This window comes from Homo sapiens, chromosome 6, assembly GCF_000001405.40.
Source record: "Homo sapiens chromosome 6, GRCh38.p14 Primary Assembly".
Lineage (NCBI taxonomy): Eukaryota > Metazoa > Chordata > Mammalia > Primates > Hominidae > Homo > Homo sapiens.
This window is the reverse complement of record NC_000006.12, coordinates 22,362,234-22,374,329: the sequence shown is the minus strand read 5'-3', so window position 1 is coordinate 22,374,329 and position 12,096 is coordinate 22,362,234. Positions and strand designations below refer to the sequence as shown.

Below are 12,096 nucleotides of genomic sequence, written 5' to 3'. Positions count from 1 at the left end.
TTGGCAATCTCATATGACTAAACATGTCAAATGATCCTGTCTACCTCTTTTCTGAATGTTTCAGGAGCCCTTTGAACCATCCAAAAAGCCAGGCATCAGGAAGGACAATTTCCAGGTTGCCATAAATTATTTTGCCAAAATGATGACTCAAAAGGCAAAAACCTTTATTAGCCTTTACTATGACATGAAAATTTTGTTCAAAGCAAAATTTTACCCTTGTATTAGTTTATTAATGTTAACCCCAATTCGTTTACATGAAACCTTATAGATTATTCCATGTAATCCTAACTAATTTGACCATGAGGTGAAATCTTTACAAACCTTTTATAATAACCCTTTTACTAAAGGGCAGATGAGTGTCTTAAGACCTCCTTGCTATGCTTTTATTTTAATGCTTAATTTATGAAAAGACCATATAGATGTTATGGGAGAAGATGGTGCAGTGCTTCTACCATGCATTTCATTACAAAGCAACCCAAAGCCAATTGGTTTATTTTGTAATTAGCCCATCCCTGATGGGAGTCTCATCTCCCAGTAGGGAGTGGGGATGCTTCCTTATCTTCCAGGTGGCCAAGAGCATGCTTCTCTGATTTATAACTACTATTAGCCATCCCTTACAGTGTATTTTTTAGCTAGTTATTACAGACCAAAGTTCTCTCATAATGCAAAGTATTTCTGATCCCCCCCAAACTCAAAACTGGCAGATAACACAATGCAAAACAGGACAGAGCCTTTGATTTTGAAAGGGATCTATCTCCTTTTAATTCCCGGAGTTTCACGAGGAAAACGGAGGGTTTTTTCCCCAAAACGGGGTTTGTGGCACCTCCTCTGTTTTTCCCCAGGAGTCCCACACTACCAGAAGTTATTTTAGGGCCTTTTATGCATGCATTAAGAGTGGTAAGACAAAAAATGGAGAAAAATAATTCAGTTAACTGAGAAGAAAAGAGCCTTTTTCTAGAAAAACAAGATTCGAGAAAAGAAAAACATAAAGACCTTTAAAATATACCTAAAACTTGAATATCTACTTTTAATTAAGCTGTGCATTCTTTAAAAAAATCCTTTTATATCTCTTGTTACTTGACTTTAGCCACACCAAGCAGTTCAGATTTTCACCTTTTGAACTTTACAAAAAGTACCCTTCTGGGTGAAACCAATGAGCCTTAATTAGGTTATGACTTAACCACAAGTGTACAAGATATTTTTTAAGGCGTGATAGGCAGCTTTTGAAACTGTCAATGCAAAACTGTCACTGAGAGAGTGAAAGAGATTTGACCCAAACAACTCCATTTTGTTTCCAGCCCCCAAGCTGTTCTTGCCCATTCCTGGCCATAGACTGAACCAATTTTGGGAGCAGCCGGGTTTACAGTCTATAGTCTAAAACAAAGATGGTAACAGCAGCTTTCCAAGATATATTTCCCTCTTACCTGGAGACCAGACCAAGAAACTAGCCACAGGATTATAAACTATGGCCCAAGAGCCATGCAGCTGGAGGCTACGAGATTTTGACCCTCCCTAAACTGCTCTGAAGATAGTGCTTAAGATATTTTGTAAACCCTGCCCTTGATGGATCAGCTGGCACCACCCAGATTGACAAACTGGCATATCTGATTTAGCACAAGAAGACAGCCACGATTGTAAAATGGCGGAGACTAAAATAAAGTATTGCCACGCGGTTACAGATTATGTTTCCAAAGACATGAAACAAGATGGAGACCTGTAGCCAAGTTTTCCAGCGACCGCTTTCTTGGGCTGGCTTGAACAGCAGGCTTAATGGCTCCTGGGCCTGCATCCTAACCTAAGACACCCTTTCTCCGACAGAACCATATAGAAAGACATGCAAAGTACACAAGATTGTCTGCAGCTTAAGACCAACCTTACAAATCCTTTTTCATTAATTATACATTTACAGAGAACATCAACGGTGATCCTTATTATCCCTTTTACCAGTTTGCACAGGGAGAGAGAAGCCAAAAGCCCACCTGGTAAGAAATGTTTACCCTTTTGCCGGCCAGGCTTCTGGGTTCCCTCGTCCCTAGCTCAACTCTACACCAAGCATTTTAAGATTTGGAAAATTAACTTTTCCCAGGCAGGTTGTAAGAACATTATACAAGAGATAGAAGCCATTTTAAACCACAAAAGAAGGAAAAAACACCATAGAAAGGAGTTTCAATTAGGGTTGTTAAGAGGTAATACCTCTCTTCCTATTGGGAATGGTGATTCCCCTATTTCTTGGCCTTCCCTATTTTCTCTTTTCCCTTCTGGCCTACTATAGGAGACATACTGCTCATCTCCAGAATTTTCTTCTGCTTGCTGAGTTGCCTGTTTTTAGCTGCAGTGAGGGTTTGACTTAGCAGCAATATAACATCCCTCCATGTGAGATCAAATACCTGAGTTAAATTTTGGAAAGCTTCTATATACCTCTCAGGGTCGTCAGAAAAGTCAGCCTCAGTTTCCCTTTACTTGCCTAAGGTCCTGCAATAAGAAGGGAACTTGAAGGGGCCCCAAATAAGGAAGACCCTCAGATGATTTCCTTGAAAGTTACTTTTTTAATTTGGGGGAACTATTTTGCCTGGGCCTGTCCGATATCGTTGCTAAAAGAGCTGGGTTGATCTTGCAACACTTGCAAAGGTCTAGTAGAAAGGCCATACCCTTGTGCAAAAGAAAATAAGCCACTGTTCTTCAAAGTTTCAAGGTCAAAGGAGTCCCAATGCTTCAACATACACTCCAGTGGAGTGCATGTTGAAGATGATCTGTTACCCATCTAGAAAGAGAAGTGAGAATAAAAGCATCCTTTTAGTCTCCTTCCTTTCAGTATGTGATCCAGGATGGAGATGAAAACAGTAGAGGGTGTCCTCCCAACTATTTTCTCTCCGTCGCTCCTGGATTCCCGGCACCAGCTTAAATGTGCTGCCCATGACTGCAGGCATGACGCTCCAAGCCATGGCACCAGAGGAACTGAGTTTTGGGCCTTAGTCACCATGTCCCCAAGCAATCAGTTCTCTGCCTTTTATTTCCCTTCGATCTCCTAGACTTGTGTGGCCTATGTGCCTTCCAAAAAATGGATCTCAAAAAAACCATGTAATTGGGCAAGGCCCCTTTAAGGGAGGGGGGCGTGCTAGGTTGAACTCTATATTCTGCTATTATGGCCCATGCTAAAGCATGTACCCATAGAAGAATGGTTCCGGTTAACCTCCAGACTCAAAATCCCCTTACTAATTAAGTACTGTCTTAATAGGAGACAAAATCGATGCCTTAACAGAACATAAGAACCGAATGGCTGTTTTCCTGCCTGTGGGACAGTATCAAGACTCAAACTTGGCTTTGGAAGGCATCTTACTCCAAACCGTTAAAAGCAGAAACTTCCCATTCCCAGAAGAGGCCTAGGGCCTGATTTCTACTAGGTAGCTTAGAAATACCATGTGCTCACCAGAGAAAATGTAGAGAGGGAGACATTGATTGAGTTACTGCCTGCCATGATTCACGATCTTTTCCAACAGAACTGTTTCCCTGAACTGTAAAGATTCCTGCACATAAGACACACAGAGAGAAGGCAAGAGACCACAGATAGAAAGAGAAAGTTTGGTGACAGGGTAGCTAGAAGAGAGCCTTGAGATTAAAGGACAGATTTAAAGTTGAAATCTGCTCCATATTCACCAGTCTGATGATTGAATTTCCTTTCCCGCCCCATGCACCAAAATGATACGGCTCTGATGAGTGGAGGAACACCAGGGTTCTTGGTCCTCATGCCGGTTTAGATAATATGACATGGACACACATGGAGTGGTTTTAAGGAGCGGAGAGTTTAATAGGCAAGGAGAAAGGGAGAAGACAGAAGAAAGAAGCTCCCCAGTACAGAGACAGTCTGGGGGGGAGCTCCAAAGCTAAAAGAGGAGGTCCCCCCAACCATTTTTATCCTCTTTCCTCTCCTGCCAGATCCTTTCCCTTTGGAACCTTGTGACTTTCAGCACACAAAACAAACCCTGATACAGCTTGATCATAGTTGGTTCCCTCTGGCTCCAGACAAATAGAAGGCTTGGGAAAGGCCCAGAGGAGCCTAGAAATGCCTTCTTAGGTCTGCATGAATGTGGATGATGTTCTGCGGTTTCTCAGTTACACTGAGGTATGCATCCTGTTCATTTCAGTCAGATGATCATTTCTTGTCTGCTGTATTCCAAGCGCCAAACTAGGATGCAAAGAAACAAAGACAAAGTCTTCCCTTCAAGCTGTATATAATCTAGTAAGAGCTAAACACACTTAGCAACTAATCTTAGCACTGATGAAGTATTGTCTTGTTTTGTTTTGTTTAAGATAAAGTTTCACTCTTGTTGCCCAGGCTGGAGTGCAATGGTGTGATCTCAGCTCACTACAATCTCTGCCTCGCAGGTTCAAGTGATTCTCCTGCCTCAGCCTCCCATGTAGCTGGGATTACAGGCGTGCGCCACCACATCTGGCTAGTTTTGTATGTTTAGTAGAGACACGGTTTCACCATGTTGGTCAGGCTGGTCTTGAACTCCTGACCTCAGGTGAGCCACCTGCCTTGGCCTCCCAAAGTGCTGGGATTACAGGCATGAGACATCATGCCCAGACTGATGAAATGTTTTGAAAGAGGTAGAGTCCTGATGCTCTGAGAACAGACACCTATCGAGTAGGCTGGTACTTGGGAAGCCTTTCTGCATGTGATAACTAAGTCAAATCAGGAAGGATGAGTTGGGGGTCACCATATAAAAACAGAGGGAAGGCATGCTCCAGGCAGTGGAAACAACATGGCCTGACAGACACACAACAGATGAGAGATGTTAGTATATTTAATGCGATTCTCTATGGTTATTCTTTAGGATAAGCAAAGTCAAAACTGGAAGAGTTTTGCAGCCTGGTAACTATTTTATATTTACTCTCTATCCAAAGGAAACCAATTGAAGAATTTTGAGTGGGAGAATAAAATAATCAAGAGGAATTGACTGGGCTTGGTGATGGATAGATTAATTCCACAACCAATTTTTTTAAAAACCTACTCAGTGTCAGCCACTCTACAGAGAGTTCATCACATAAATATAAGCCAGATGTATTCTTGTCTTTTAGTTGCTTCCAGCCCAGTAGCTATATGGCAAAAAAGAAAAAAAGGGGGACTACAAAGGAAGATGAAGGAAAGAAGGTGTGGAAAACGAACACAAAGCTTCTGACTTGGGCAATGGATCAGTAGTGGTGTTATTTATAGAAATAGGGCACAGAAGGAAGAAGGTAATAATGAGTTCAGTTTGGAATGTCTTTCTTTAAAGAGCCTGCCAAGTAGCTAAGAGGAAATGTACAACAGATAGCTGGAGCTCAGGCCAAATCCAGACCAATGCCTATTTTCATATGGCTCATGTGTGCTGCTTCAGAGGACACAGAAACCAATCTGGGGTGTCCCCCTCCACCTCCATTCCCCTCTGTTACTGTGTCTGTAACCACCCATCCTTCCCCATCCCCACACAGTCCTGCCAGCCCACTGGGCCCCAATCCCTCAAATGTCTGGAGAAAGTTTCCCTCCAGCTGACAGTGACCGTGTATGAAGTGCACTCATGGTCCAGAAGGGCCCATCGGACAAAGAGGATGGTGAAGGGGCAAGAGTTACCTTTCTTGTCATACGAAGTCCCTACACAATATCCTCAATTTTGCTTTTGATCTGCAAAGCCTAAGCCTAAGTCATTTAGTATCTTGCTCTTTACAAAAAAAAAAAAAAAAAAAAGTTTGCCCACCCCAGGTTTGAACTAAACTGCGATAAGAAAAAGTCTTTGTACATTATACCACCAAAATTCAATTCAGATGAACAAACATACTCACAATCTATTCAGAGGGTTTAAGCTGGAAATATTTATTGAAAGCTGAAAACTTACATTAGGTTAGGCAGTTCTTTACTCCACTCTCCCCTCTCTTTTTATCTGAAGAAAAAAAAACCCTAATTAATCAGGGTAACCAAATTCTGCCTTGAAGATAGTATAATTTGTTCTGAATTTTTCATACCTTGGGTTGTATCTTCTCTCAGAATTTCATCAAACATGTTGTTTTCCGTTCAAGTGGGCTTTTACATCTCACCAGGTATTAATTTATTTACAGAAGAAGGAAATTGAGGCGTTTGTCTAGGGCAACCAAACAACAAGTTAAAAATTTAAAAACCAACTGATTACGTCTCTGATTATTTGGTTTCTACAATTCCAGACACCCAGCACAGCCAATTTGCTTACCTAAAAGAACTGGTTGCATTGGTCTGGTGGAGACACAGCCAAAGGCAGCAGTTCTACCAGCTCACACACTGGGGATTTTTTTTTTTTTAACTTTTCCCAACCTCATACTAGCCAAGTCATGCAGATGAAGAAGTGATGTGGGAAGTAATTAAGTGCTATTAGAAGCAAACGGCATCTAATTTGACCGAATGGCCAAGTGCGGTGTGGTCTTTTGATAGCATTTCCAAATACAGGAACCAAATTTGATCCTTTAAGTCCTCCTTGTCTTTAGGATGCATGTTTATTCAAAGAACAGATGGGGAGAAAAATCAGAAAAAGACTTTGTTCGACCCACATAAAACAGCATATTTGAGTGTGGGCATGAAGGGAGATGAGTTTTGGAAGGATTTTCATTTGTTTGATGTGTGAAGATAGAATTGGGAAGTGGGAAAGAGCGGACATTATTTAATCTCTCCCAGGGAGGAGCTTCAGAAGGTTCTAAGAGAAAGAAAGCTCCCTTAGTAAGCACATATTTCTGTGCTCTCATATCTTTGGTATTTTCCATTATAATAAAAGAGAGATTTCCAGGACTAAAGTTACTGGGTACTACAGACAGGAAGAAATTTTAGAAATGGTTATAAACTACCACCCACAAATTAAGCTTTTTTAGGGTTTGGAATTTTTAATTCCAAGACAATTTTTAAATAAATTGTCTTTGGATGAGGTCATGCCTGTGTGTTATTATATGTACTCCTAGTCATTAAAGACCAAAATGGAAATCCAGAGAGCACTGCACTAAAAACAAGCTTAATGCTGACAGCATTTATGACCTACATGCCTAATCCCATAGGTCTCCAGGCTCACAAGAAAACTGTTTCTCTTGAGATGCCCAAGTTGTCATTGCATGTCAGGGAAACTCAGGTATAAACAGGTACTTAAAAATAAGGGTAAGCTTTGCTGGCTACTTAAAGCAAATTGAGCTTTTGAAACTGATGAGGTGTACCCCGTTGAAATGTTGGCATCAGTCTGGAGCCCAATGCAAACAAGAAACAACAAGGGGAAAGACAATGGAGGAGGAATCAGGAGGAATCATAATAGAAAGGAATTGCCTGCTGGTTGCTAACATTTCCATATGGACACAAGCAGCAAAATTACAAAAGATCAAAGAGCAATCCAAAGAAGAAGGGAGTGTTCAGTCTCATAATTGTGCATGTGTGTGAACATACAGCCTTCTGTAAGAATAACAGCAGAAACATGTTTTTGCAAGTGAGGTCCAATGTATGCCAGCTAATGGGGGTGCCTGGCTGAACCTCAGTATGCAAAAATCTACTCTACATTTGTTAAAGATGCTACTGATTAATGGTATCTCAAATCTGTAATAACAGTTAACAGATGCACAAGGGGGAAATGTCCTCAATACAAATGCTGTAGGCTTCCAAACCTCATTGTAATTATTCCATTTGTGGTCAAGTGCTAGCAACCCATTTTACAGCTAAAGCCTAAGGCAAAATAATTTTGCCCACCATGACATTGAGGGAGAAGTTGAGGCGCAAAGGGACAACTCATTCTCCAACTCTTTACGTGTCAGCACTACATATGAAGTTTCTCTTGTGTCTGTTTTAAACTAGATACAAGAAACAATTTCACAAGAAATTGTGAAACTGTGTCTTTCACAAGAAGCAATTTCAATCTTTGCACCCAGAGAATAGCTTCTCTATGTAATTCTAATCTGATGAAATCACTGATTTTCCTGTGTTAAGAGGTTAGTGAGTTCTATTTCACAACAGATAGGCTCACTCCACATTTGGTAAACTCTGCCCCAACTGCGAAATTTTAAACAAATTTAATTCTTGGTAAATGTATTATTAACTACTATTAATACATAAGAAAATAATAACGTAATGAAAAAATGTTTAATAGTAACATAATGAACATAAAAATAATATTAGGAAATGCAGAAAAAAGCTTGGTATATCTCAAAATACATAACTGTTCAAGAGCGCATTGGCCCAAATCACCAGTTTTTTCATTCATTAATTTCTGTTATGGTTTGAATGTGTTTTCCACAGTTAATGTGTTGGAAAGTTAATCCCCAGTGCAACAGTGTTGAGAGGTAGGACCTTTAAGAGGTGATTATGTCATGAGGACTCTGGATGAATGGATTCTTATCAGAAGCTTGCTATAAAAGCTGAATTTGGCCTACTCTTGCTCTCTCTCACCATGTCATGCTTTCTGCCATTTTATGACACAGCAAGAAGGCCCTTACCAGATGCAACCCCTCATTCTTGGACTTACCAACCTCTAGAGCCAATCAATCGCTTTACTTTATAAATTACCTAGTCTTAGGTGTTCTGTTACAGCAACAGAAAATGGACTGAGACAATTTCCTTGGGAAAGTAAACAGAATGGGCTTTGAAGGAGTCTCTCACTGAATTTAGAAAACAAAATGACGAAGACACAACTTTCAACACTTCATTATATTACTAGGTTTAATGGTTGCAATTACATATGGCTTTATAGACTCAAAAGTGCTTTGCAACCTTTAATTAGTCCATCTTCCCAAGTCCACCTCCATTTTTGGATGACAGCACTGAGATATATTGGTTATGATTTGCCCTCCAGTAGCCAAGTAAGTCAGAAGCCCAGTTCAGAGTAAAACCAAGTCTCCAAAACAGAACCAATGCATGGGCACTGGGATTCTGGCTCACCTCTCATTCTACAGCATAGCTGGAATTTTGTTTAAAATGTGAAAGCATGCAAACAATGTTTTATCACCAGATATAGGGAGGTTTTGTTGTTATTAATCAACTTTTTATTGTATTTTCCCTTCGGATATAACTGCAAGTCAAATATAAGTAAATACTTTTTCCTCTTGCTCTATCTTCTAACTTCCAGTTCTCTTACCCACTTGCCCTCATTTGGAACACAATTTTCACTTTTAGAAAGATGTTTCCTTAGAGTTTGGAAAATTAATTTGATTAAGAGTGAGAGTCTGTAATCCCAGCACTTTGGGAGGCCAAGGCGGGTGGATCACGATGTCAGGAGTTCAAAAACAGCCTGGCCAAAATGGTGACACCCTGTCTCTACTATAAATACAAAAAATTATTACCTGGTGGCGGGTACCTGTAATCCTAGCTACTCGGGAGGCTGAGGCAGAGAATTGCTTGAACCCGGGAGGTGGAGGTTGCAGTGAGCCGAGATCATGCCACTGCACTCCAGCCTGGGTGACAGAGTGAGACTCCGTCTCAAAAAGAAAAAAAAGAGTGAGAGTCAGTGCGAACGTGTGTGTGTGTGTGTGTGTGTGTGCGCGTGTGTGTGTGTGTTAGGGCCAGTGCAGTTAAAAATACTATCACATTCAAGAATTCCAATGTAAGCAGTCTTATAAACCTTAAAAATGTCATTTAAATCACATATTTAATAGGAAGCTTTAAGAAAGAGACAGAGACTCATTGTGAGCTTTTTTCATGTGCCTGTCTCTGGCTCACCTTCCAGCTGCTTTGCAGGGGGATCAAGGTGGGTGAGCAACTCGCTCCAAGCCCTGAGGTGCTGTATCCCAGCTGCCAATATCTTCATAGGGTCACTGAGCAGGCATATAACTCATTCCATTTGTAACCATGAGAAATAGAGTCCCCCAGGGAAAATATGCACTTCCCGTATGTTCTGCCCTGTGCACTGGTCTAGGTGAATCACTATCCAGGAGGGAAAGGGGAAGGGATGTGTCTTGACACATTATTTCCTCACAGATATCAGAGCATCATTTCAAGGATAGTATACTGCCTTAAACAGACCACCTATCTGATCCAGCCATGGAGATGGGATGCTTTTAGGAGCTTTCCAGTAAATGCCTCTAAATTCTATTGCTAAGGCTTCCACAAAACTATCAAAAAAAGAAATGCTTTGATGTGTGTCCCCTCTAAGCACTGTGCCACAATTCATAACCTCCACACCCAGCCCCTTCCATCCTTTTCTCAGTCCCTTTTCTGTCCTCCCCTCCGCCCACCGTGGAGCTCGGCCATGCTGTATGCCTTCCTGCTCACATGAACTGCAGTTGCTGGAAAAATGAAGCCAAAAGAAACAGCCAATAAAAACAGAAACAGCTGTAACAATTTTGCACAGCATGGTCTTGATTTCCTTGAGTTTTTTACTTTTGCCTCTTTTTTTTTCCTCCTCTTTTTCTTCTCCCTTCAGCTCCCTTTTCCATACAACACCTTCTGTGTTGGGGCTTGGAATGGAGCAAGAAATACTTCCCTCTTCTGCAAACGCTTTGTGATTCAGAAACAATGTTGGAGTCCATTTTGAATCACTAGTTCCAAAACAAGCAGAACCCCAGAGAGGCATGGAGTGCAGGGAGGAGGAGGAACAGAAACAAGGGAAATGAGTTGAGAATCTTGCCACCAAAGACAGGTGCAAAGATTTACAAAAATAAGAATAACAGACCCAGCTCTCAAATTTGCTCCTTCTCAGGCTGCTATTGCCAGTGGCTGTGCCTGTTGTGAGTTGAGCTCACAGAAGCGGTTCTTTTTATTTCATGGAATGTTTGCACTCACCTCCCTAAATGGACCCTGTTCTGAAGCCTCTATTGAACTGTTGTTTACAGTAGCCTCACTTTACATCTATCTCCTCTTCCCCAAAAACCAAGGCATGACAAGGTAGCTTGTAAATGCAAAAGGCTACTGGAGGAGCAATGTTAGTAGTTTCAGAGAAGAAAAGGAGAAAGAATGACTCAAAGCACTGAACAAATATAAAAGGAAACACTAACAGCAGATTGCAATCAGTACTGTCTTTCCTGTCTGAACAGGCTCATGAACCTGGGGATGTTTACCTTCTTCAGAATCCATAAAGAATCCAGGATCCACTCACCAGGCCCCATCTTTAGCAGGTGCTGAATCCAGTTCTATCTAAAATGCTTGCAGTCAGGGGAAATGATCTCCAATGGTGATTAAAGCCTCCTTTGAATTTTTATTTTTTAACGTATTGGGTGTTGTGCATTGTTTTGTTTCTCTCCAGCTGTTTCCTCTCTTTACCCATTTTCTGGGACATGGTTCCCCAGTCTGAGGCTGAGCTGGATCTGGGCTACGCATCATGAAGACCTGGTAGAAATAAAAGCTCTTTCATGGTGGCAAAACCCTGTTTTTCAGATGGTGTGAAACAGATCTGTATTTTATTATTAATAACAGCACATGCGTGACACCACGTCTTCAAAGGGCTGTGAAAACATTAATTCTTTTGTGATGAAAAAAAAGCAGCAGCAGCAGCGTCTTTTTAAAGTGAATCTCCCAGTCTTCTGGAGAGAGGCTAGAAAACATAGTCTTAGCTAGAGATGAATGAATCAAACCCCGGAGGTCTGAGATCTGGGTCTGATTGAGGAGCGCTTTGAAAAAAAAAAAAAAAAAAATCAGGAGTTTTATCTGAGCTAGAGCATGTTCCAAATTCTACACCCTTTCAAACTCACATGGAAGTCTTTCGAAGACAAGCTGTGGTCTTTGTTCCAGGAATAAAACAAACAATAAAAGACAGGAAAGTAGAGCAGAATAAACGTGGCTTTTCTACATTGTTGAAATTTGATCTGAGGTCTCTAGAAGAGAGAATCATTCTCCCTAGTTGGCAAACCTGCCCTTCAACTTCTTTTAATAAGTGATTTCTTTGTCAAAGTCACAATCTTCTATTAAAAGGAGACAATTAATATCCTATTTTGCAGAACCTGGAAATGGAATCCAAAGGCCCAATTTGCCACTGGACTTCCCAAATTAGCCCTTCAGCTTTTCTTTGTTTTCCTTACATTTGAAAGGTTGTTGCTTTGTTTTGGAATTTTTTTTGTCCAATTAAAAAACATATAGGATTTTGTGCTTATACAAAAATATATGTAATGTGTATGTAAGTTATACAGTATAATTTG

General features: G+C 40.8%; 1 long non-coding RNA gene across 2 annotated transcripts in view; it reads right to left on the bottom strand.

Moving 5' to 3' along the window:
• LOC105374971 (uncharacterized) overlaps positions 1 to 12,096 on the bottom strand; it is a 241,097-nt gene that overhangs the window by 215,985 nt on the left and 13,016 nt on the right. Inside the window, exons 3-4 of one of the 2 annotated variants that reach the window (XR_001744023.2) lie at positions 6,001 to 6,116; positions 5,842 to 5,918 (exon numbers count right to left, since the gene is read on the bottom strand). The exons of the other annotated variant lie outside the window; for it this stretch is intronic. This is a non-coding gene — a long non-coding RNA (uncharacterized LOC105374971). Of the gene's footprint in view, positions 1 to 5,841; positions 5,919 to 6,000; positions 6,117 to 12,096 lie in introns of those variants that run through there. 2 annotated transcript variants of the gene reach the window in all.